The sequence below is a fragment of the Homo sapiens genome, chromosome 11, assembly GCF_000001405.40.
Source record: "Homo sapiens chromosome 11, GRCh38.p14 Primary Assembly".
NCBI classification, from domain to species: domain Eukaryota; kingdom Metazoa; phylum Chordata; class Mammalia; order Primates; family Hominidae; genus Homo; species Homo sapiens.
The window spans coordinates 126,407,899-126,433,256 of NC_000011.10; the positions used below are offsets into that span (position 1 = coordinate 126,407,899).

At 51.7% G+C, this 25,358-nt stretch overlaps 2 protein-coding genes across 37 annotated transcripts in view, besides 3 other annotated features; one reads left to right on the top strand and one right to left on the bottom strand.

Annotated features, from left to right (window-relative positions):
* Positions 1-6,740, top strand: part of ST3GAL4 (ST3 beta-galactoside alpha-2,3-sialyltransferase 4) — a 58,953-nt gene extending 52,213 nt beyond the window's left edge. For 17 of the 19 annotated variants that reach the window (NM_001348396.2, NM_001254757.2, NM_001348400.2 and 14 more), the window contains 5 exons: positions 201-296; positions 409-598; positions 1,370-1,513; positions 5,607-5,750; positions 6,063-6,740. In NM_001348396.2, the coding sequence (NP_001335325.1) occupies positions 201-296; positions 409-598; positions 1,370-1,513; positions 5,607-5,750; positions 6,063-6,149 (661 nt within the window). In that variant the 3' untranslated portion in view covers positions 6,150-6,740. Of the gene's footprint in view, positions 1-200; positions 297-408; positions 599-1,369; positions 1,514-5,431; positions 5,751-6,062 lie in introns of all 19 variants that reach the window. The other 2 variants (NR_145671.2, NM_001348398.2) reach the window with 2 other exon arrangements.
* Positions 8,596-8,890: an enhancer, noted in NCBI's record as "tiled region #5906; HepG2 Activating non-DNase unmatched - State 10:DNaseD, and K562 Activating non-DNase unmatched - State 22:ReprW". NCBI's record gives its function as "activates a minimal TATA promoter and a strong SV40 promoter by Sharpr-MPRA in HepG2 and K562 cells {active_cell/tissue: HepG2 | K562}" and the evidence as "EXISTENCE:reporter gene assay evidence [ECO:0000049][PMID:27701403]".
* Positions 8,657-8,786: a silencer, noted in NCBI's record as "silent region_4051". NCBI's record gives its function as "represses an Ori minimal core promoter by ATAC-STARR-seq in GM12878 lymphoblastoid cells {active_cell/tissue: GM12878}" and the evidence as "EXISTENCE:reporter gene assay evidence [ECO:0000049][PMID:35858748]".
* Positions 8,887-9,056: a silencer, noted in NCBI's record as "silent region_4052". NCBI's record gives its function as "represses an Ori minimal core promoter by ATAC-STARR-seq in GM12878 lymphoblastoid cells {active_cell/tissue: GM12878}" and the evidence as "EXISTENCE:reporter gene assay evidence [ECO:0000049][PMID:35858748]".
* The window catches only part of KIRREL3 (kirre like nephrin family adhesion molecule 3), a 580,037-nt gene continuing 570,138 nt past the window's right edge, over positions 15,460-25,358 (bottom strand). For 11 of the 18 annotated variants that reach the window (NM_001441257.1, NM_001441258.1, NM_001441262.1 and 8 more), the window contains 4 exons: positions 23,521-23,628; positions 21,281-21,390; positions 17,740-17,826; positions 15,460-17,125 (listed from right to left, as the gene is read on the bottom strand). In NM_001441257.1, coding sequence (NP_001428186.1) covers positions 16,682-17,125; positions 17,740-17,826; positions 21,281-21,390; positions 23,521-23,628 — 749 coding nt within the window. In that variant the 3' untranslated portion in view covers positions 15,460-16,681. Of the gene's footprint in view, positions 17,126-17,739; positions 17,827-21,280; positions 21,391-23,046; positions 23,629-25,358 lie in introns of those variants that run through there. The other 7 variants (NM_001441251.1, NM_001441253.1, NM_001441255.1 and 4 more) reach the window with 3 other exon arrangements.

Sequence of the window (25,358 nt, forward strand, 5' to 3'; positions counted from 1 at the left end):
CGCAGTCTCCTCCTCTTACAAAGCCCAGGGCTGTAAAGTCAGCATGACCCTAAGCAGGACCACGGGGTGATGCCTGCTTCATGGGGACCAGGGGCTGAGGGGGCCTAGGAAGTGGTCCTGAGATGGGCCCAGGCAGATCCAGGGCAGCGAGCCTGGGTTAGAGTGTGGGGTGACATAGACCACTCCTCTTTCTATGGCAGCCTCAGGTGCCGCCGCTGTGTGGTCGTGGGGAACGGGCACCGGCTGCGGAACAGCTCACTGGGAGATGCCATCAACAAGTACGATGTGGTCATCAGGTGTGTGTGACTGTCTCTTCCTACTGTTGTTTGGGAACTGGATGTCCGAGCCAGGGACTGTAGACAGGCCCAGGAGGCCTCTAGTGATGGGAATCCTCCTCCCAACCCCCAGATTGAACAATGCCCCAGTGGCTGGCTATGAGGGTGACGTGGGCTCCAAGACCACCATGCGTCTCTTCTACCCTGAATCTGCCCACTTCGACCCCAAAGTAGAAAACAACCCAGACACACTCCTCGTCCTGGTAGCTTTCAAGGCAATGGACTTCCACTGGATTGAGACCATCCTGAGTGATAAGAAGCGGGTAAGTTGGGGGACAGACTGGGGGCTGAGGCCTGGCGGTGGGGACGCTGCCCGAGTCAGGACCTCACGCTCCTTGATGTCCGCCTGGCAGTCCTAAAGAGGCTGTGAGGGGACAGCATGAACCGGGCTCCCGGAAGTCAGCGCCTTAGGCTGCCCTCCAAGGGTGGTGCTCTGATAAGCTGCCCCAGCAACTGGGTATAAAAGCCTGCAGGCGTCAGGTGGCAGCAGCCACAGGCACCCATGCTCCAGGCGTGTCTGTGACAGGAAAGCTTTCCGAGTAGGTGTTTGCCTGTGAGGAACTCGGGAGCTGAGCAACCCTCCAGCAGCCATCTCCAGGCTGAGGGCAGGTTAGAGCAATGAGGCCTGTGTCCAAACAGATGGTCCCCAGAAAGAGTTCACTACATCACTTTGCCATCCGGTCACAGGCTGAACTGTCCCATCTGGCATTTTTGTCAAGTGTTTAGACAGCCTAAAACTTTAGTCCCTTCTACCTGTGTGGATGTTCTTGGAAGTGGTCCATGGTTTAGACCCTCCACTCTATACACCTGGTCACCTGGCCTCCCGAGGGGGTGCCTTTCCTCCTCTCTTTCCCTGGTCCTCTCCTGGTCTCCCATCTGTGGCACAGACTTCACCTCCCTTTCCTCTCACCTTGTGCTCCTGAAGGCCTCTGCCATCGCTTGGACCCCCTCGCCTCGCTGAGGACCACTGGGTTGGATTTGAGAAACAGGGCTTCACCCGCTTCTGTCTCTCTCTTCTGACCCCATCCTCCTAGGTGCGAAAGGGTTTCTGGAAACAGCCTCCCCTCATCTGGGATGTCAATCCTAAACAGATTCGGATTCTCAACCCCTTCTTCATGGAGATTGCAGCTGACAAACTGCTGAGCCTGCCAATGCAACAGCCACGGAAGATTAAGCAGGTGATGATGGGAAGTCAGGCCTGAGGGCTAGGATCCTGGGCGGGAAGTAGGAGGGATGATCCTATGGGCTTAGGAAGCCCTGGAAGGATCCCATAACAGAGGCGGCGGTTTGCATTTTCCCTCCAGGAACACACCTGTCATTAAAGTTGCTGCTGCAAAGGGGAGTGCACACTTTAGAGAACCAAGGGGCATTTACTAAGTGGGGAGGGATGGGGATGGCCTGGATCAGGTTTAGGGGCTGGTGTGAGAGGATGGTTTTGGCAGGCGCTGGTCAGAATTTGTCAACTGGGGAGCTGCTGGAACAGTCAGTGGTCTGATCTGTGGAACAACTTGAGCCATGCAGAGTTACTGTTAGATACTTCATCTGTGATCTTATCTTGAAACACTAGTCTGAACGAGTTATAAGAGTTGGAGCTAAACAGTTTGTCTTGCATGTCATGATTTGGTATGGTGTGTCAATTCAGGGAGTCAATGTAGTTTTGCAAGTTATGGGTTTTTGTTTTGTTTTAAAGATAGCGTCTCACTCTGCCACCCAGGATTGGGTGCAGTGGTGCAATCATAGCCCACTGTAACCTCAAACTTCCAGGCTCAGGTGATCCTTCTGCCTCAGCCTCCTGAGTAGCTGTGAGACTACAGGTATGCACCATCACGCCTGGCTAATTTTTAAATTTTTTTGTAGAGATGGGGGTCTCACTGTGTTGCCCAGGCTGGTCCTGAACTCCTGGCCTCAAGTGATCCTCGTGTCTCAGCCTCCCAAAATGCCGGGATTACAGGTGTAAGGCACTGTGTCTGACCACAAGTTATGTGTTATGTGTTTCTTCTTTTTAACCTGATGTCCTTGAGCCATAGCAAGTTATGGTTTTGAGTGCAGTGCCCTGGTGGTCTTCAGCTGGTGGGCTTTAACCCACTTTGTAGCTTCCCAAGTACTTCCACCCATATCTTGGAGCCCCTCGGGGAGGCCGTGTGGGATGGTGAGAGACAGGCACTAGCAGACACAGGTATGGCGCTTGGCTGTGCTGTGTACTGTGTGGGGCTTGGCAGGTCAACTGCTCAGATCCTTGTTTTTCTTGCCTGTGTGGTGGGATAATATCCATAATGACCTTTTAAGGCTGTTGTAGGAGTTTGAAAAATAATAATGATGTAAAATACCTATTCTGGAGACCGGTACACAGGGCCTGCCCTTTAAATATTTGCCAGATTTTGAATAAATGATTTTATTGTTTACTGAACATTTCCTGTTATTCCATGTTCTGTGTTGAATGGCTGCTTTTGTGACTGCTCAATGCCAGGCCCCGAGTCTTCTTGCTTGGCGAGGAAGTTGTGCTCCTTGCTCTAAGGGACCTCAGTCTAGCAGAGTAAGAATGCAGGTTGCACTGTGGGGTGATAAAATTCCACAATGGAGAGTTGTTCCCAATGCCGTGGAATCTCAGAGGAGGGGCAGACATCTGCTGAGAGATGTCTGGGAGGCTCCCCAGAGGAGGTGGTGCTGGAGCCGGGCCTGGAAGGATCAGGCAGAGAGCTGGGGAAAGGCATTCCATTTGGCCAGAGCAGGCGGCTCCTCCAGCACTGAACTGTTTCCAGTACAAGTGGCGTTGAAGGGCAACAAGGAGTTTCATGCCATTCATAGGATTACAGATGGAGAGGAGGCTGGAGAGGGAGATGAGAGAGGGCGAGGACCTGAACCCAGCTCCTGGCAGTGGGAAGGGAAAAGGAGGAGATGGACTCAACATTGTGTTGGTTGTTTTTTTTTTTGAGATGGAGTCTTGCTCTGTCACCCAGGCTGGAGTGCAGTGGGGTGATCTTGGCTCACTGCAACCTCTGCCTCCCAGGTTCAAGTGATTCTCCTGCCTCAGCCTCCCAAGTAGCTGGGATTACAGGCATGTACCACCACACCTGGCTAATTTTTGTATTTTTACGAAAATACAAAACACAGGAGTGCTGGTCTCGAACTCCTGACCTTAGGTGATCTACCCGCCTCGGCCTCCCAAAGTGCTGGGATTACAGGTGTGAGCCACTGCGCCTGGCCTGTATTAGCTTTCTGTTGCTCCCTAACTAATACCACAAGTTTAGCCGGCTAAAACAATACCCATGTACTGGCTCATGGTCCTGTAGATCAGAACAGCAGGGTGTGGCTGGTTCTCTGTTTAGGGTGTCACAAGGCTGGACTCGGTGTGTCAACCAGACAGTTCTCATCTGGAAGCTTGGGGGAAAATTTTGCTTCCAGGCTCATTCTTGTGGTTGAAATAATTCGGTTCCTGCGATTGTAGAACTGAGGTCCCCATTTCCTTGCTGGCTGTCAGCTGGAGGCTGGGGGCCACGCTCAGCTCTTGGAGGTGGCCCACATTTCTTGACCGTACAGCCTCCATCTTCAAGCCAGCGACGGCACAATAGATCCTTTCTGTGCTTCAAATCTCTGACCTCCGTTTCTGATCTTGACACCCGGATTTAAAGGTTCAGGTAATTAGGTCAAGCTCAGCAGGACAGCCTCTCCTTTTGTGTTCAACTGTGCCATATAAAGTAACGTCACGTAATCGCATCATATTCACGGGCTCCCCACACGCGCAAGGGAGGAGATTACATGAGGGTTAGCGTCACTGGGGTTCTCTTACGATTCTGCCTTATATATTTTACAGGTGGAATTGAGAGATTTCTGACCAATTCTGGGTTTCTAGCTTGGACAGCCGGTAGGGGGCGGGGGGTGGTAACATATTTAACTAATAGAGAGAGAGTGCAAGGAAGAGGAGGAATTTGGTGAGTGTAAGGAGACTGTGTCCAGGCAGAGCTGGCTAGAAGGCCATGGAAGTGTGGCTCAGCCCAGCTGGATGAGATAACACACTGGTGGTGAAAGCAACAAGGGTGGAAAAGAAGGTCCAGCCAGGGAGTGGAAGATGAGAAGACAGGAGAGCTCAGAGAGGGAGAAAGCTGGCATGTCGACAGGCCTGATGAGGTCCAGGAAAGGCTCCCAAATGGGTATGGGCAGCTGAAATTGTGTGCAAAGCAGGTTGCTGAAGCGGAGGAAGGCGGGGCTGGAGAAGTGAGAATATCAGGCTGCCCGTCACTGTGGATGAATTAGGCATGAGCAACTGAGGTTCTCAGAGCAGCCAGTAAGGTGAATGGGAAAGGTACTGCTGTCCTGCTTTAAAGGAGAGGGCAGCCACCATGGCTCACGCCTGTAATCCCAGCGCTTTGGGAGGCAGAGGTGGGTGGATCGCTTGAGCCCAGGAGTTCGAGATCAGCCTGGGCAACGTGGTGAAACCCCATCTCTTTAAAAAAATAGAGCGCCACCCCCATAAAGGGTCGCACAGTTAGTGCATGTCAGAGCACCCAGGTCTTCTGAATGAGGTCAGGTTCTCCAAGGAGGAGGGCAGAACACTTCCTTTCCTTTGAATGAGTTGCTTAACGCTTTTGTAAGCCTTGGTTTTCTCATCTGTAAAATGGGGCTGATGATAATAGCTACCTCCAAGTGTTTTTGTGAGACTAGATGAGATAATGTTTTATAGTAGGTAGGTAAAATACTAAACATAGTGTCTGGCACATAGTGTTTAAAAAGTAACTGATATGATGATGGCTGTCATTCTGATTGTTAGTCTTATCTCTACAGGCCCCAGGCCTCCCCCAGATGTGTGGAGCTGTACCATCCAGAATGGTAGCCGCTAGGCACATGTGGCTATTTACTTATTTATATTTGTTTATTTTTAGAGATGGGGGGGTCTCACTATGTTGCCCAGGCTGGAGTGCAGCAGCTCTTCACAGGTGCATTCTTAGCGCACGACAGCCCAGGAGTCCTGGGCTCAAGCAGTCCTCTGACCTCGGCCTCCTGAGTTGCTGGAACTATGGGCATATGCACTACTGCACCCAGCACATGTGGCGATTTAAATTTACAATTTAATTAATTAAAATTTAATAAAATAAATTCAGTTCCTCAGCTGCACTGGCCCCATTTGCGTGCTCGTTAGCTCGTGGCTTGTCTTGTTGGACAGCGCAGATGGAGAACGTTTCCGTGACTGCAGGAAGTTCCACTGCAGAGCGCTGGCAGAGATGATGGTGGGAGGAGCAGGGCTCCCACTAACACCCTCCTGCCCCTGTTCCTCAGAAGCCCACCACGGGCCTGTTGGCCATCACGCTGGCCCTCCACCTCTGTGACTTGGTGCACATTGCCGGCTTTGGCTACCCAGACGCCTACAACAAGAAGCAGACCATTCACTACTATGAGCAGATCACGCTCAAGTCCATGGCGGTAAGTGCCTGGCTTGTGAGCATGGTGGGCCAGGGCGTGGACGGGCAGACAGTCAGAGGGGCACTGGGTGAGTGGGAGCAGTGCTGAGACCCAGAGGTGGCTCCCGCAGTCAGAACTGGAACCGAGGCACCTGGACTCCCTGGCCAGCATCCTCCATGTTCAGCCACATGGGCTTTGTCTTCCTTCCAAGAGCCAGCCTGGGGAAGGGAGCTCCCAAGAAGTGTGGGGCCATTGGGAGGGGCAGGGAGACTTTCCTGGGGACAGAGAGGTCCCTGGGAGTCCCTCAGTTTATTTCCTTGGCTGTCTCCACAGGGGTCAGGCCATAATGTCTCCCAAGAGGCCCTGGCCATTAAGCGGATGCTGGAGATGGGAGCTATCAAGAACCTCACGTCCTTCTGACCTGGGCAAGAGCTGTAGCCTGTCGGTTGCCTACTCTGCTGTCTGGGTGACCCCCATGCGTGGCTGTGGGGGTGGCTGGTGCCAGTATGACCCACTTGGACTCACCCCCTCTTGGGGAGGGAGTTCTGGGCCTGGCCAGGTCTGAGATGAGGCCATGCCCCTGGCTGCTCTTATGGAGCCGAGATCCAGTCAGGGTGGGGGCGCTGGAGCCGTGGGAGCCCGGCCAGGGCAGGGGGCTCGTTGCTGTGGCACCCCCTCTCTGCCAGCACCAAGAGATTATTTAATGGGCTATTTAATTAAGGGGTAGGAAGGTGCTGTGGGCTGGTCCCACACATCCAGGAAAGAGGCCAGTAGAGAATTCTGCCCACTTTTTATAAAAACTTACAGCGATGGCCCCACCAAGGCCTAGACACGGCACTGGCCTCCCAGGAGGGCAGGGGCATTGGGAATGGGTGGGTGCCCTCCAGAGAGGGGCTGCTACCTCCCAGCAGGCATGGGAAGAGCACTGGTGTGGGGGTTCCACCGAGAAGGGGACCTCATCTAGAAAAGAGGTTACAAACCTACCATTAAACTATTTTTCCTAAAACGGAAGCAGTTGTGATGTCCTGTGTCCTTTCAGGTGGGGGAAGGCATGGGACAGGGTGTGGCAGTGGGCAGGCTTGTTAGACCAGAGCAGGGCATGGTCACTCAGGAAATAATGACTTATTGAGTCCAGTGTTGGGTGCCCGGTCATGCATTATCACCCTGGCATAGCAGGAGAGTGAGTGGTGCTCACAGCACCCGTCTGCAGGCACCCAGCCTGGCACCCGGCACCCTGGGTTACTGCCCAGAGGAGGGAGGGGCTGGAGGATGCCAGACGAGAGTGCCAGAGTCCTCTCCCACCTTCCTTCCTCTCTTCCCCACCATTCTTCAGTTACCCAAATCTCATGCTTGGGAGGTATGTGTTTTAAGGACAGGGGTGGGGTCAGACAAAGAAAGCCAAGTTTCCCTTCTCAGATTAAGTGGGAACCAGAAAATGGAGTTTATGGAAGGTCTTGCCAGCGGCCCAGGCTGCCAGGATGGGATGGGCAGGCCTGGAGGGCAGTGTGGAAGGGATTTGGCAAGGCCTAACAGCCAGTTGCTGGGCCAGGGGATGAAACGGCTTCTTTCCTAGGTCTTTAGCATCCTAACAATCCTGCCGTTTGCCTGTCTCTCCCGCCTTCGTTCTCCATCTTCCCAGATCCTGCTTAGCTGCCAACTGGGCTTCCTGCCACCCCACAGCTGTTCCTTTACATCTGGAGCCAGGAGGGAGAGTTGGAACTCCCCACTTGGGGAATGGAACTGGCAGCTGTATTCCTGGCTTTCTCGGAAAGAGTTGCGGCCTTGAGGTTTTGAGACAAGCCAGGCTGGGACAGGACAGATAAAGAGGGGCAGCAGTTTGGGAGGAACAGAGGAAGATGACATGGTTCTCCACAGAGCGTTGGAATGGCCTTGTGGACACCCACTTCATCCCCCAGAATGGCCCCAAGGACCCTCCCAGGGAACAGAAGGGCTGCTCTCTCAGCAGCCTGGCTGCTTTGCCAGGGGAGAGGGGGGTTCTGAGAGCGAGTAGAGCCCCAGCATCTGCAGCCCCAAGCCCACTCCCCTCCACACGGGCAAACTTTGTCTTGAAGGCTGTGTCCTGGGGAGCGAGCTTGCAGACAGCAGGGGTTGTGAGCGTGTGGGGATCTCAACTCTGCTCACCCCGATGCGTCCCCAGCTGCCGCTCATGTGGAGATGCAAGGGAGTGTCCGTTTTCCCATCCGGGGCCATTGAGAATGGCTGTCTGCATACATGATCCAGCTGGCCTGGACTGAGGCCACTGCCTGTTACTGAACGTGCCTAAACTCAAGCTAGAATCCGGCACACAGGGGTGGGTCAGACCCGTCTAAACTCCACACACGCACACATGTAGATATGGGAGCATTTTACATTCTTGGTGGGTTGTTTGTGATTCTGTGTGCGGACAGTCCTTCCTGCTCACATACTGAGAAGACTGTGAATGCGGGGTGTGTGTATACCCAAATAGACCATTGTTTGCTTGGGGGGGTGGGGATAGCTTTCTCCAGGGTGCCCAACATCCTACGCAGATTGAGGCAATACTGGCCAAGGGTCGGAGCTGAGAATGGGGCTTTGATGTGGGGCTGTTGGATGGGGTTCTTTGGTTTTCTGGGAAAGGGACTTTCAGTCTTCAATTAGCCCAACCAACGGGAATGAACTGCCTGCCAGCCTGCCTGGGACTGATTAAACCATACCCTGGAAATGAGGAGGGGAAAGAGCACAGTAGGGCACGTGCTTGAGGGCAAGTCAGGAGATCTGGGTTCTCCACCAGCCTCTGTCGCCTTTTTCTGTAAGAACGTGGGCCAGTCATTTCTCTGCAACAAAAGGGTGGGTCCAGCTAAGGAGAACCGCTTGTCTCAGAATTACCTAGGGAGACTTGGGAATAGAGATTCCTGGGTCTCACCCAGGCTGCTGGGGACAGCAGGATCATCGCACGGGCCTCTTGACTCTACGGCCTGCGTGTAAAGCCTGCGCTAAGCCCCAGTGTCCTTCAGCGGCGTCAATTAGGCGCACGCGCAGTTTCCTCTCCGGAGGGGCGGGCAGGGCAGGGGAGGGAGGAGCTACTGATGTAGCTCGCCCCGCCCTGGCGTCAGGGCCGTGCAAGCGTTGTCCGCATGGGCGCCGCGCCGACCCTCGCGGCCGTGGGAACCCGCCCGGAATCTCGCAGGGCCTGTCGCGCTTCGTCCAGGTTGACGGCCTCCTCCCCGCGCTTTTCGGGATGCTGGCCCCGGCGCCCCGCCTCAGGCGAGGCCGGCCCCTCCCTGGCAAGCGGCTCAAGGCTTGGCGACGGCTCAGGGGAGGCTGGGCGGACTAGGGGGCCGCGCCCCTCCGAACTCTCGCTGGGCCTCGGTCATGCCACCTGCTTTGGGTTCATCGCAGAGGCTGGGGTGAAACTGCCTTAGGTTGCGAGGGAGTGGAAGAGCTCTGTCCCATCGAATTTAGATCCTGGAAGTCCACAGAGGGGAAACTGAGGCCCGGAGGAGAGAAGGGACTCCCCGCTTCGTCACCTTGCTGGGCAGGATAAGAGTCAAGGTCTCTAGTGCGGGAACACTTATAAATGTTACTCTGTGTTCACATCACATGGTGTGCCTTAATTTTGGATGCCAAGGATTTTATTTACATTTTCCAAGGACACAAATGCATTCCGTTGCTTTCCTCCAGAGGCTGCCTAGCCTACGAGGAGTTTGAGCTTGGAACAGGTTTTTGTGGGAGACAGTAAGGTGCGATGCACACCAAATAGGGACAGTTGGACCGTGAGTTCAACTCCCTGCTCTGTCGTTTAGCCGAGTAAACCTCTGCTTCTCCATCTGCAAAGCAGTGATCATGCATGTCTCTCTCACAATGAGGTTTTAAAGACCTAATGGGAAAATGATCATAAAAACATTTTGTAGAGTGTAAAGTATGATATCAATATTAATTGGAAAGCTGCCTTGCATCGTGGAAAATGCCAGAGGGTATGAAACAGGTTAGGTACATTTGTAGGGCCAAATACTTGGCCAGGTAGTGAGTAACATGGCTGGTTACAGAAAAGTCTTTGTCTTCAAATCACCCACAAGGTAGGTAGGGGAAGGTAAGACATCAGTGAAATGACTGCAACACAGGCTTTGCATAATCAAACGATGAATAGTGTTTAAACTGCTTTATATTGGTGGTTTTCTTTTTCTTTCTTTCTTTTTTTTTTTTTTTTGAGACAGAGTTTCACTCTTGTCACCCAGGCAAGAGTACAATGGCAGGATCTCAGTTCACTGCAACCTCCGACCCCCGGGTTCAATGGATTCTCCTGCCTCAGCCTCCCGAGTAGCTGGGATTACAGGCGCCTGCCACCACGCCCAGCTAATTTTTGTATTTTTAGTAGAGATGGGGTTTCATCATGTTGACCAGGCTGGTCTCAAACTCCTGACCTCAGGTGATCCACCTGCCTCGGCCTCCCAAAGTGTTGGGATTACGGGCGTGAGCCACCGCGCTCGGCTATTAGCGGTTTTCAAGTTGAAGTCGGACACCTTTAGGGATTCTTGGGGAAAGAGATTTCTTGGGAGACATTATCCATTTCAATGGTACCTAGCATGCCACAGTAGATTCCTAAACAAAGGTTGAGAAGTATAACCTGAGTTTGTCAGCTCTATTCTAATCTCTCCAACCTTTTTGAAGTCTTCATTATAGCTTCGGAAAACTGTTAGTTTCCAACATTCCCATAATTCTGTACTAGATGTGGTTCCAAGAAATCAGACCTTTCTGACTTAAAAGTTTAAGGAGGGGTATGCGCGTGGTGTGCGTGTGGGTGTGTGTCTGTCTGTAGTTATAGCTGGTTTTCCTGTCCAGTTCAATCTCATTGAGTTTATCTCTCTTGTTAGAGATTTTTGGGATCCTGTGCCCAATAAATAAGAAGAGATGAACCTTGAGTCTCATTAGATGACAGATTTTTGAGAAGCTCAAATGTATGGGAAGGCTCCACTTCTTCACTTAAAGGGACTGCAGATGGTGTGAAGCAGGTGGGAGAGACCCCAGTGCTAAGAGGGTTATTACAACAGGGCTTGGCAAGAATTTTTCAGGGAAAAATGAACTTTGGGAGGCGGGTGCTGTTTTTTGCCCCATTTTGGGTTCCCAGGGAAAGGTAACAATTTAAACACACACCACCTGAACAGAGACATAGCTTCCTCTCAAGAGCCTTGGAAGGCTGGGAGAGTGGTGTTGGGTGGAGAGAATGAGAGCAGGCTCAGATGTTGAAACAACCCTAGGGGATTGGAGTTGGAATTGCTGAACTGAGCTAGTCCAGAGCCATCTATCATTCTGAGTCTTCCCAAAACACTATTTACACAGATCACCAACTTTCACACTTAAGGAGTGTCTCCCCGTTTCTCTTCTTACTAAGCATGGAGCTGGTGGAGTCTGGTTGGAGATAGCCTTCAGGTCTGTGCTCTTTTTCTCAGTGAATTTATGTTGCACTGATGGAGCCCTTGCATGGCAGGAGAGCTAGATAAACTTTTAATTTCTGTTAAAAGTCAAATAGGAAGCTCTTATCTGAAAATTCTGCTTAAATCCTTGTCTGCATCACTTTATCTCTACTTGCCTTCTTCTTTTAGTATTTCTCTGAAGTGCAATGCCCATTAATGTCACAAATGTACTTCCTAGTCCTTGGGCAGCAGAGCCTGGCCCTTTATTTTCCTTGCAAAGGAGGTGAAAGTGGTAACTTGAACTTAGTCCACCTGGACTTTGTCTCATAGAAAGTGATCTTCAGGCCGGGGCCAGTGGCTCACACCTGTAATCCCAGCACTTTGGGAGGCCAAGGCGAGTGGATCACCTGAGGTCAGGAGTTCGAGACCAGCCTGGCCAGCATGGTGAAACCCCCATCTCTACTAAAAATACAAAAAAATTAACTGGCCATGGTGGTGGGCACCTGTAATCCCAGCTACTCGGGAGGCTGAGGCAGGAGAATCGTTTGAACCCGGGAAGTGGAGGTTGCAGTGAGACGAGATCGTGCCATTGCACTCCAGCCTGGGCAATAGGGCGAGAGTCTGTCTCAAAAAAAAAAAAAAAAAAAAAAAAAAAGAAAGTGATCTTCAGAGGGATGAATCCCTTCCTATATTCAGCTTCTATCCAGAATAGTACTTTTTCTCTTGCATAACTGGGTATAGATTTCAGATAAGCTCCATTTAGTTAAACTCCAGTTATTTCCAGGAACATCTGGACTCCCTGAGACCTCACTAGCCTTCTTTTTGAGCATTAATAGTTTAGATTCACCATAAAGAAGACAGTTACAAAGAACCATTTTTTGAATGTTTTCAGCATTCCAAGATATTGCCAAGGGCCGTAAGGTTAAGGAACAGCGGAAAGAAATGCTATTTCTTGTCTGGTATTCTCCAATCAGGGAACTCAAGGAAGCTCTCTACTCAGGGGATGAGGCTGTCTCAGCCCCGTGGGTGGGCTAAGTGGACTGTTTCCGAGAAAAGCACTGGGAACATGGAGTGGCAGGCAGATATTGGCAGAGGCATAAATATAACCAGGGATGTAGATGACAATTTGATGACGTATCTTGTGAATGGTGTATATTCACAGAAGGCCTTTTAAAGATGGAGGCTGTGGGAGTAGGAAGACTTATAGGGCTTGTAGTAATGAAAGCTTTCAGTGTATGTCAAAGAACTTGCTGTTAGCGAGGACGGGAGGAGGGCCAAGGAAGAATGGCGGTTAGAGAGGGAAAGAATTAATGGTTTTGCGGCAAACATGGACTTGGCCAGGAAAACAATTCCTTATTTCTAGAAAGAAGAGGAGCTTTTAAATTTTTTAAAATTTTTCTCAGTTTATGACCTGGTTAGGAACACTGAAACATAAGGAGTTGGGGAAAGGATGGTTGGAGGCTCACTGGAAATGAGAGGCGGCTATCAGTGAATGAGCTCTTTATCAGTGACTCCCAGAGACTGCTGCTAATTTTGATTTGAAAGCTGCAAATTGCTGGTATGTGGTTACAGTTCCTAAGAACAACTTAGATAAGAGATTTTCAAAAGCCGTTTTGAAAGGGGAAGTGAAATTTAAGATTTAGTTGTCATTGGTCTACATCTAAGTGTTTGTTTCTTTAGATGTGCACACCAAGGAGCATTTAAAATAAAAATCTATTTGCAAATTAAGATAGTCTTTATTTACATTTTTATATTTTTATTTCAATAAAAAGTGTGTTTTATAGAGAAAGCTCCCAGAGAAGAAACTAATCTCAAGACTCCCTTTTGTCTTTTTTTTTTTTTTTTTCTGGTGCCAGGACAAACCGCACACATAATACCTGGGAAGAACTAATCAAACGTGTGTGTGTGTGTGTGTGTGTGTGTGTGTGTGTATGTACCTTGTGCCTTCGGTTCTGATTCCATAATAGCAAATGACCCAAGCAGCACATACTCCTCTCCAACCAGGAAGTGAGAAATGGAATTTTGGTTGACTCCTTTCTCTTGTTCTAAGAAATCTCCCAAGGACTGCACCATGTTTGTTTTCATTTCCCTGGCTCCTTTCCATTCTGGAAACTTAAAATCGGCTTCATGGCCTCTTGCTTTATAGAATTTGTTCAAAAAGGCTTCGTCAGAAATGGATTTGATGTGACATTTTTGCTCTTCACGTGAAAGTACTTCCTATTCCCTGAAAGTGGAAGAGGTGGTGGAAATAACCCTGGCCTTGGCCGACTGATCTTGAACCTGAGAATTAGAGACTGGGCCTCCGTCCAGTGACTCTGAGCCAGTAATGAAGTTTAAAGCTATCGGAAGACTGGCTGCCGTCCTTGGTAGAGGTGGGGGTGATTTGATACACAGAAGAGCTTTGTTTCCCAGGGCTTTGTGGTCTTTCCGGGTCATTTGGGGACTTAGGGTGGAGGACGCCAGTCTTGCCTTCCTAATGGAGCTGTGCTTGTCCTCGCCCGGCCTGCCCCAGAGCGCATGCTAGCACAGTCTTGCCTTCCTAATGGAGCTGTGCTTGTCCTCGCCCGGCCTGCCCCAGAGCGCATGCTAGCAGATGGCCTTTACCATCAGCCACTTCCAGCGACATTCTAGGATGAATGTGTGTATAAAGCTCATGTTTGTCACTCGTTAGCGCTTGACGCTGGGCAAGTTTTCTGGCTTCTTTAAGCCTCAACCCACATCTGTAAAATGGTGATACTTCGTAGAATTGTGAGCATTAAATAAGATTACAAATGTAGAGCACTCATTTTATTTAATGTGAAATCACCTATGGGGGAATTCGGGGCTTCCCACTGCCTTTGTTTTTCAGCACCTCCCTTCACCAGCTTTTCTGCACCCCCACTCATTTGTGAGAAATAGATAGTGCTGGAGACAGCTGAGGGATGTACTCAGCTCAGTTCAGGCTTCTCAATGCCCCAGAGTCCTCCAGATCCCCCTCATTTTTTCCCTCCATGCTCTTGTCTCTCACAAAGATCATCCTTGTGACCTCCTATCCCTTGGGCTATTCTTTGCTGCATTGGGCATTGGACAGTGCTAAGAGGGTTGGGCACCGTGCAGCCTAGTGTTTGCAGCTGCCCCGGTGCGCTCTGCTCAGTCCATATTCTTACCCTGGGTGTGCCGAGGGACAGGACAAAGGGCTTATTTTATAGAACATATTTCTTCCCCATTCTTCTCGTTTATAATTTTGGTTTCCAGGAAAGAATGGAAGAATGGGCACCTCCACCCTATTAGTGCACACTCTGTGTGTGTGTGTGTGTGTGTGTGTGTGTGTGTGTGTGTGTAGCAGGAGCAAGGGGCAGGGTCAGCTGTGCTGAGGACTAGGAGGTAAATGGTCTACGCATATCCAAGGTGGGAAGACCAAGAGAAATAAGAGAAGTAAATGAACAGATCCTCTAAAGTCATCTTTTCCTTATTCCAGCACACCAAGGCATTGTGCATATGGTCTTGGATCCTTATTCTCTGTTAGCCAATGGAAAACATATATGGAAAGAAAGCAAGCAAGCTTGCTGAGATTAACCTAGAGAGGGCAGGGGCCAGCATCCTGATGTCTATGCTAGGCCAGCATGGTACCAGCAGCAGAATGTGGGCTGTGGACATACACTTAACATTTCTGATCAGTTTTTACTCCCTCAGGCTTAGGGGCTACAAAGGAAGATAGCCAGGTTTCTGGGAAATTTCGAAGCACTTGGAAATATGATCGAAGCAGAAAATTCCTCTGAGTGGAGGAGCTGTGTAGGCTGTGTATAGAATCTGTGGATTGGGACCATCCAAGGAATCAGTGTCTGGAAAGAAGCACAAACTGGTGTGATGAAGGTTCCCATGATGGGTAAGAACTACCAGGGAAGGTTGGAGAAGAAAGGTTTAAAACTGACAAGGAACCTCCAAGCCACCTTAGGGACAATTTGGGTTCTTTAAAGTTCCATTTGAATCCCACTCCCTCAACGAGCACTCTAACTTGCCCCTGTTTATCCACCCCATCTGCCATGACCACATCAAACTTACCCACAAGCGAGGCCCTTCTTAGAACACTATTTGAGTTGTATATTAAAATGTTAGGGTGCCTGGTGGTCTAGACTCTTTCCAGCGGGTCTTGTTCTCTGAACCTCTAGAGGAGGGAACTTTGCCTTCAGAATATTGCTGAGAGGAAGGGTCCAGAATGGCCTGGCCAGTATCTAGTGTGACCACTCTGCCTCTGAGCTATATTTGGCTGAGTCAGGTGGCTGGTGAGTCCCACACGTCCTCTGGATTGAATCCACCCACAGGGGAGAGGAGTCAGCCTGTAGGTTTAATTGCCACCACAATCAGAGCTATCAACTGCCTTTATTGTCTAGGAAGATTGAATCAAAGGAGGGCAGAGAACCTTGGGTTCCCAACGCATTCTATGAGCTCTTGGGTTCTTCCTGTGGCTTTGTAGGAACAAAAGAACAGAACAAACATGTTGGAGTAGTGTCCCTAACATTTATTTCAGGTGGTGACTAGGAGGGTTGAGGTGTAGATATACTTCCTCTCTTCTCGTGGAGCCTTACTGAAGACAGGATCGCCGTTCTTGTGTTTATCAGCTGAGAAGGGCAGTCTCGCCATCTTAAAGACCTGCCCTCCAGCCCCTTCAAACGCCACACTTCCCAGGAAGCACTCTCTCCATAAGTGTTCAGAGAACCCTGACCAGAGAAGCTCCCGCACTTCTTATATGAACTCCGATTGTGCTGAGGGGGAGGGGAGGAGTACACAAAGCAGGAGGTGGGTGGGGAGGCTGGGGTCACACAGCCCAGGAGGGGCACACCCGGCGAGGTGCTCCGTCAGCACAGGCTCCCTCCTCCCTCCCTCCCCCCAGTACACCAGGCTCTGACCGGACCGGTCCCACCGCAGAGTTCAGCGGCATCAAGTCCAAGGACAGAACTGCAAGAGTATGGACACAAAACACCAAACAAATTGGGGGTGGGCTCCCGGCCAGCCTGGTGAGAGAGAGGCTCCTTTAGCCAAGGCCATTTCTGGCTTGTCAGCCTCCAGGGTATGGGCTATGAGCAGCAGTGGGGAGCCGGGGTTTCTGGGGCAGCTCAGTGCTGGGAAGACGTCATCCCCTTCTCCCCAGGGCTGTATGGGAGCACAGGCACAGGGGTAGGTAGAGCTTCTGGTCAGCGAGGGGTAGAGCCCACAGAGAGACCAGAGAGTGGACCGCAGTTTCATGAAAGCAGAGTTATAGCTGCCACTTGTGCCTGTGGGCAGAGCAGGTGGTAGAGGGGCCTCCAGGAAAGGGCCGGGGACACGGGTGTCCAGCACTAAGCACAGCGCACTCAGCCGCAGCCTCTGTCTGTCTCCCCACCCGCCCACCTCTGGCACACAGCACCTGGGGACCCAGATTTGTGCTTGATCAGAGCTTCGAAGGAAGGCAGTGGCAGAGGCGCTGGGAGGCTGTCCTGGAAGTGGCCAATTCTGGTGTCCTCTGCAAAGTACCCCTCGTCCCTGGACAACCAGAACGTGCCCTGACCTCTTCCCTGGCCCGTCCCCACCCGCGGTGTGTGATCCTTAGACGTGAGTCTGCATCCGCCGCTGCAGGGGTCGACTGGGGTCAGAGTTCTGGGACGAGGACTGGGAGTGGTGGGAGGAGGAAGCAGAAGCCTTGCTGGCCTTGTCGAACTGCACATAGCCATCCTGCTTGCCGCTGCTGCTGACGCTGCTGTCACACTGCGTGTCCAGGAAGGAGCTGCTGTCGCTGAGGGAGCCTCTCTGGAACTCCCGCTCACAAAGCTCGATGGACGAGCTGCCCATGCCCAGCACAAACCGCTGCCCGTAGTCGTAGAGGCGGCCCTGGCCGCTCAGGGTGCTGTAGATGTTGGTGAAGGACATGCCTGTGGGCACACGCTGCTTGCCCGCAGGACGCAGGTCGGGCTGGCAGCTGGAGAGGGAGATGGTCGGGGTTGAGTGGTGCTCTTTGAAGGTGTTGACGCTGTAGTAGCCATTGGTGGGGTCCTGGATGGGCGAGAGGAAGAGGAGCGTCACCTGGTGGAGTCTCCACTGAGCGTGGCTGGGGTTTCCAGGCTGAGCCCGTCCCCTTATGCGGGGAGGGAAGAGGGAAAACAGGAGGAAGGGAGCAACCTGGTAGGGAGCAAACTCAGGGGTGAACAGCTGCAGGGAAGGTGCAGGGGAAGAAGGACACTGAACAGGAGATGGCAGAAGGGGGACTGCGGACCCCAGGAGGGGAGGGACGGCAAGGGTGAGGGCTGAGGGCCGAAGGAGGGAAGCAGAGGCTCTTGACTGGGTTTATGTCAGGGCAATGCAGGGTCATTTGAAAGTCAGGCTTTTTAATTGTTTTTATCCAGAACATGGATGCTTCATTTTGAATCTACATGTGAGGAGGCTGTGGAAGAGAACTGGGGAGTCTCAGCCTTAGCTCTCTCAGCCTCCTCAGCGTTGGGGTAGGGAGAGGAGGTGCCTTAGGCAGGGACGGGCACCTGCCACCAAGCTGGCCTCTGACCTTTTCTTCTCTGACTTGCTGTCATTTGTTGTATAGATTTGGGGTTTGGGCCATCAGAGCTAAAGACCAGATTCCATGGCTGTGTCTTATAACCCGGGGCCCTTCTTACCTTCAGGTTCTGAAACTCTTTCTCCTCTTCTTTGAGGACCTCCAGCTGTTTCAGGACTGAGTCTTGCTGGAATTCACCCCGGTCCATCTGCAACCCAAAAAAGGCTGCTCAGTAGATAGGAGGTGGCTAAACCTCCACTTCCCCCAAGGAAAAGATGAGATCAGAAACTCAAAAGATTGCCCTGTATAACCCCCACCACCCCTCACTGCCTGGACCATGTGAAAGAGTCAAGATGAGTTCCTGGAGCCCCATCCTAGGAGACAGGGAAGCAGTTGAGGGGGGTGGGTGAGTAGGTGAGGTGAGGGGCAGTTAGGGGAGGCGAGGGGCAGGTATCCGAGGCCATACTTTCCTCGCTTGGGCGAGGGCATCACCAGAGATCTCCCATGGCTGATTCAATTCCATTGACTGAACGTTTATTGTAAAATGCCGGCCAGTTGCTCTGCTAAGGACCAGAGATCCACAGATTAACGTACATTAAGATACAGCTCTGCTCATCAGGGAGATGGACTTGTAGATAAATAATTTCAGAATGTCAGTCACTGGGCATGGCAAGGCTCCTTAGGGCAGTTTCTTTTCCAGCGTGCAGGCCTAGTGCAGGCCTTAGGGAGTCACAAGGAATAACCATCTGTGAGATGCTGGCGACATGGGCCACACCTGTTATTCTCATGAAAAGTTAACTTCCTTAGAGATGCCAAACAGCCTGAGGGCAAGGATCACTTCCTGCTTGTCTCTGGGTCCTCCCACACCTGGTTCAGTGCTTTGCATGTTGTGGTCACTGACCTTGCCTGCTTTTGGGATGGAATCTCTTAATTATTTGATTTGCCAATGCCTAGCACAGTGCCTGATATACAATAGAGCTGCTTCAAATGGTATGTATATGTTGAATGAATAGGCAAAGTGGCTTAGCTCTAAATTACTGAAAATTAACAAAATTATTAGACATAAGATGAAAAAGCATACTCCACACACAGTGGGCATATGAATTAATCTGAATAACCACAGTGATGCTTAACCTGTGACACACGAGAGGCTTGCCATGTGTCTCTGCTAGTTGCACGGTATAGGTAGTAGGTTCCCTCCTACTCTCTGGGCCGGGATGTTTCTTCTCCCTTGCAACCTGCTTTCCTCGTTTCTTTTTGGAGCCCTGTAGAATCAGCCAAAGTGCGGCCACCCGGCTGCCTCCTCACTAAGGAGACCATGCGGTTCATTTTTCCAGTAAATGCTCTGGCACTGTCTGGACTGGAGACCTTCTTTCCCATCAGATTCAACTTCTAAGTCTGCCCCTTCTTGCAGATGGGGCTGTCTTGGGGCCAGGAGGTGAAGGGAATGCGAGAATGACGATATCCTCAAGGGGTGGCTTAGCCCAGAGCCCTCAGCAAGTCCCTTCTGCTCCCACCTGACACTGAGCTGCCCCCACTCTTGCCTGTGGATTTGGACTAAGGGATGTGGAGACAGTCTGAGGCAAACAGAATGTTTGCCGATGGGAGAGAATTCAAGGTCCCGTTTGGGATGAAGGACACACATGATTAAGCTTAAGTATAGAGACGTCATCCCTTCTCACATCTAGGCTGTGGTTTCCTCCCTCGTAAAACTAAACACTCCACTGTGTTAATTTTAACAGTGTCAGGCCCTGTGTTAGGCCCCAGGGGAAATAGATGAGCGTAGACTCAGAAACATGACCTTTGCCCTTGAGGAGCTCTGGGATAACTGGGGAAGCTGACATGGAATTGGGGGAATGCACTATAAAGGAGGCACATACAAAGTGTTTTGGGAGAGCAGAAGGTGCACAGCTCCGCCAGGGGTGGGGAGGACAAGCCCGGAACATCTTGGAGTTGATTGTTATGGGAGAATGTGAGATTCAACAGACAAAATTAGCAGGCAGAGAGAACAGCCGGTGCACAGGCCTTTGAAGTCCAAAAGATTCGAAGGCCAGGAATCAAGCTCTTTGGCATGTCTGGAAGGCCAGATGTACTTGGCCGGAAAATGGAGCTGGAGAGGTTGGTGGTTGCCTGGCACTGAGGAGCCCTGATGGCACACCAGGAAGTTGGGCTTTGTCCAGCAGATGTGGGGAGCCACCGAGGGATTTTAAGTGGGCAAGTAACAGGACCAGATTTGCATTTTAGAAAGGCTGCTTTCTCAAGGCTCTCGAGGGTGGATTGAGAAAAGAGACAAAAGACTACAAGGCTGAGACCAACTGGGAGGCTGCTGTAATCATCCAGGGGAGCAATGATGAGGCCTGAAGTAAAGAAGTGATGGTGGAGGACAGGTGGGGCACACATTTGAGACACTTTTTGAAGTGGAATTGACAGGACCTGAAAATCAATTGGAGAGAGAAAGCGTAGCCGAGGGAAAAGTCAGTTTGATTCAGTAAACGTCTGTGAGCCTCTACCAGGGCCTGTGTAAGGCTCCGAAGACCCCGGGATGAACACAGCAGCAGCTGCTCACCCTCTAGCAACATAAACCGCTAATATTTCTTGAGCACTTATTGTGTTCCATGGGCTTCAAGCCCTTCTGAGTTTTGTCCACTTCACCCTCACCACAGCCCTGTATACTGTGGCTTTCAGACCCATCTCATGGATGAGGACATGGAGGCACCAGAAAGCCCATCTACTATATTCCTTGCTCTGCTGCCTCCACTCCAACATGTTACGACCGAGGCAACCAGAAACTTCTAGCATGGTTGTCCAGGTTTCTGCTTGGACAACTAGGTAGATGATGGCCCATAAATGGGGATTCGGAAGAGGAGGAGCAGGCTTGATGTGCCTGGAGAAGTGATGAGTTGACTGGCAATCCAGTCCCCAAGGAGGAACCTGTGTTTCTTGCAGACTGTTTTGGTGGGGTGCGGGGGATGAGGGAGAGGGACATGTATTGAATATCTATAATAGCTATGTGTGTGTGTGCGGGGGAGGGGAGGGGATTATATGTTATATAACAACATATTGTGGCAATTTATGCATATGTCTTTTCTCCTTACTGAAGAGCCAGGCTCTCTGAAGGGTAGACTGCATTTTTGTTGTTGTTGTTGTTTTGAGATGGAGTCTCGCTCTCACCCAGGCTGGGGTGCAGTGGCCTGATCTCAGCTCACTGCAACCTCCACCTCCTGGGTTCAAGCAATTCTCCTGCCTCAGCTTCCCAAGTAGCTGGGATTACAGGCGCCCGCCACCACGCCCAGCTAATTTTTGTATTTTTAGTAGAGATGTAGTTTCACCATGTTGGCCAGGCTGGTCTCGAACTCCTAATCTCAAGTGATCCGCCCAACTCGGTCTCCCAAAGTGTTGGGATTGCAAGCGTGAGCCACTGCACCTGGCCTGGACTGCATCTTAGATGTCTTTGAGTCTGCCAGAACACAAGCACAGTACAGCAGGCACACACTCACATTTGTTGGCTGAGAGTGTGTGCCTCACCTATTGTGGGGTGGGCAGGGGGCATCTTGAACGCTGCTCTGCTTTTTGGAAGCATCTAGTTCATTGAGAAGCCTCTAGTCCCAGGACCTTCTGGGAATGGAGTCACGGGATGGGATGGGGCGTAATTGCATTCTTACCATCAGCTGCTTGATGGTGGAGTGCTCCTCACCCTCCCGACCAGAGGCTGGTTCCTTGTGGACAATTTCCACTCGGATATCATTTTTGGCTGACACAACACCTTTGAGATCTGGAGATAAAATAGTAAAGTGTAGATGATAGATTTAGTTCTTACCTTTGAGATGTCAAGCTCCCTTGCAGTCCCCTGCCCCTGCCCTGCCACCCTCTGCATTTCCCCTCCAGCCCCTGAACTCAGCAGCTTCACCAGCCCCCCACCAATAGAACCTCCATATGGAGATGCTGTGGGTGTTTGGGCCTCAGAGGAGGCTGACCCCATGGCCGGCCTGCCTCCTGTCACATGCCCCTCAGCCATGCACCCTTGGCTTGAAAGATCGTCTTCAGCCACTTGTCCGCCTTACTGAGCTAGGTCCTTTTCATCCTACTGAATTCTCACTTCCTTCTAGAAGTCTTCTCTGACCTGCTCTACCAGGCGGGCTCCAATCCCTCCATTCATAGAACCATAAATCTCAGTGTTGGAAAGGACCTCAAAGTGCCCATGGCCAACCCCCATCCAAAGAGAAACGCCCCTGAGGCAGTGGGCAGCTTCTCTGTCGACGCCTCCGTGATGGAAGCTTTACTGCTACTTCTGCAGGAGGCAGGCTGTTTCTAGTTGGAGAGCTCTGTTAGAAAATTCTTGGCTGGGTGCGGTGGCTCACGCCTGTAATCCCAGCACTTTGGGAGGCCGAGGTGGGCAGATCACGAGGTCAGGAGTTTGACACCAGCCTGGCCAACATGGTGAAACCCCGTCTCTATTAAAAATCCAAAAATTAGCTGGGCGTGGTGGTGGGTGCCTGTAATGCCAGCTACTCGGGAGGCTGAGCATGAGACTCGCTTGAATGAACCCGGGAGGCAGCGGCTGCGGTAAGCCGAGATTGTGCCACTGCACTCCAGCCTGGGCAACAGGATGAGACTCTGTCTCAAAAAAAAAAAAGGAAATTCTTGAGGAGCTGGTGCGGTGGCTCACGCCTGTAATCCCAGCACATTGGGAGGCCGAGGAAGGCGGACCACTTGAGGCCAGGAGTTCGAGACCAGCCTGGGCAACATGGTGAAATCCTGTCTCTGCAAAAAATTAAAAAAATAGCAAGGCATGATGGCACACGCCTGTAATCCCAGCGACTCAGGAGGCTTAGGCACGAGAATCGCTTGAACCTGGGAGGCGGAGGTTGCAGTGAGCTGAGATCGTGTCACTGCACTTCAGCCTGGCCAAAAGAGAGAGACCCTATATAAAAAAAAACCGTATATATATGTGTATATATGCGTATGTGTATATATTTGTATGCTTCCCTATAATTTCCACTGAGACGGTGGTGATGGAGGTCCTGAGACCACATCATTGCTGGGGTGGTCTTGAGAGCCAAGGCTGCTTAGCTCGGAGTGCAGAAAATGCAAGGGGAACAGCTTTCTTCAAACATGTGCAGGCTGCCGAGTGGCAGAGGAGCAGACCCATTCTGGTGATTCATTTTTTGCATTACACTTATATAATGTTAGTGCCAGATGGGGCCATCAGAGTCATATCCTCATTATAAATGAGGAGACAGGCCTGGAATAACTGTGGCTGGCCCAGGGTCATGTGGCAGAAGAGGTGGGACTGGAACACTGTGTCTCCATTGTCTTCACCTGTTCTCTGCCATCCAATCTCTCACACGTTATCTCCTCGGTGCACGCAATTCTTCAAGCGTGCACAAACACTAGAATTTTATTGGTAATCACTGAAGACCTTTAAAAGTTTTCTCAAAGCAATTCCTTTATTGCTTCCCCACCCACTCCCCCACAGCTGTGTGAGTGACCTGCTTTTCTGGTGAGACTAGCAGCTCTTTATTTTTATTTTGTTGTAGAGATGGGGTCTCTCTAGACTAACAGCTCTTGTAGAGCAAGGATCAAACCACAAACCGCTTTTCCCCCTATCTTTCTGTACAGTTCCTGACTGAAAGAGCTATGTGTTCAATCCAAAATGCTGGCTGCCCTGCAGATGAAGTTCAGTCTAGTCCAGGTCAACCTCAGCCTAGCGCCCACTCTGCCAGGCGCCATGTTGCCCAGGCTCACATACACCGATGCATCAGACCCACTCCCTGCCCCAGGAGCTCACAGCACTGTTAGGACCCCTGTTCATTGCACTCCTGCTTACTTGCTCTCCGGGGCAGCCTAAGCCTGGCCTTTTTCTCTGTCCCCCTCCCTGAGATCCCGGATCTCCCTCCCGTACTTCTCTGGGAACGGGCACAGCAGAACGCCACGATGGTTGCCATAAGGACGAGGAAGGCCACACCAGCTCCTACGGCCACCCCAATGATGACGGCCATCGGCACAGACTCTGTGGGAGAGAAGCGGGCACAGCTGATGACGGATGGGGAATGGCCTACTATCCCCCCATGATCTCACCCCGTTCCTGCGGGGGCAGCCCCTGCCACATGGGGCCCTCCTGGGAAATGCCTCAGTGGGGCCTGGGCAGGCACAGGCCGAGTCCAACTGGGGTCAGCTCTAGCTGGGACTGCAAAGACCAGGGTGGAGGACACAGGGGCTTGGTGGGTGGAGGAGAGGGCAGGGGAACTGAGGTAAAGGGCAGAGGAAGGAGAGCGAGGCAGGCAGACACGGAGAAGGGAGGGCCAGGGGACAGGAAGACCGGAGATGAGGGGTGGGGCTGGCACGATGGAGCTCTCTCTGGCATTAAACAGGAATGCTCTATCACACAGCGGCCAGTGAGTCATAGGCCCTGGCTTTTTTTGAAAAATGACTATGGTCACTGCCCTTGTTTGTTCCGTATGTTCTCTCCTTCCCTTCCCTTTCTCGGGTGAATATAGAGGACATCCGGCTCTTAGTGTTTGCAGGTCTAAGTAGCTTCCCCGCAGGTCTGCTGGGCATCAGTTGTGGCCCTCAGGTGTCCAAGTCTCAGGGTCCAGGGAGCAGGGTTACAGCTTCTCCACTGCCACCTCTCTAAGGAGAGAGGCCCCTTTCCCTCCATCTCCAGGTCTGCAGCTTCTCCCTCAAGGCTGCCCCTCTGAGCATCCTTGCACCCCTCCTGGCAAGAGAGGCCCACACACTGGGCAGGCAAGCCCTCACCCCTGCTGAGTCTCTGTGGCCTGTCTCCTGCCCAAGCCGAGTGGGGGTAGGGACAGGGAGGGTAAGGATAGAGTCGGGGGTGATCTTCCACACAGCCTTGGCCCTTCTACAGCTGCAAGTGGGGTCGGAGCACATGATTTAGGGCCTTGAGGAATCCATCAGGAATAGAACTAGAGAATGCTGGGGCAGGGAGAGCTTGGGGCTCTCACTGAGGTCCGGAGAAGTCAAGTGATTTGGCCAAGGACACACAGGAGCTGCCCAGCCAGGGTCAATCCAGGTCTCCTCTCACTGCTCCCACCCCTCCACTCACCCCACTCCCACCCCGTCCAGCTCCACCCACAGAGTGACATGTGAGATCCCCCACATCTCATGTGCTCGGTACCGCCCAGACTGCTGCTGCTCCGAGTCCTGGCTCCATCCCTTCTGCTGAGCAACTGACTTTGCCTCTCTTATATCTGTAGGATGGGGATAATGGTACCGGCCCCTCTGAGGGTTGTTATGGGCTTGAGCTGGGTGAATGTGGGCAGAGGCCTTGGAGCAGAGCCTGGCACCCAGCCCTGTTTGGTGTTTGCTGTTGTTGTTACCCAGGAAGGGGTCACCAGCAGTTCACGGTCTTTTATTTTTGGGATGGAGTCTGGCTGTGACACCCAGGCTGGAGGGCAGTGGCACGATCTCAGTTCACTGCAACCTCCGCCTCCTGGGTTCAAGCGATTCTCCTGCCTCAGTCTCCCGAATAGCTGGGATTACAGGCACATGCCACCATGCCTGGCTAATTTTTGTATTTTTAGTAGAGATAGGGTTTCACCATGTTGGCCAGGCTGGTCTCAAACTCCTGACCTCAGGTGATCCGCCCGCCTCAGCCTCCGAAAGTGCTGGGATTACAGGCGTGAGCCATCGTTCCCGATCAGCAGTTCACAGTCTTAAAGGCCAGGAAAGTTCCTTTGAAAGACTGAGCCCCTCCCCAGCCTACCCTGCGTTCGTCAG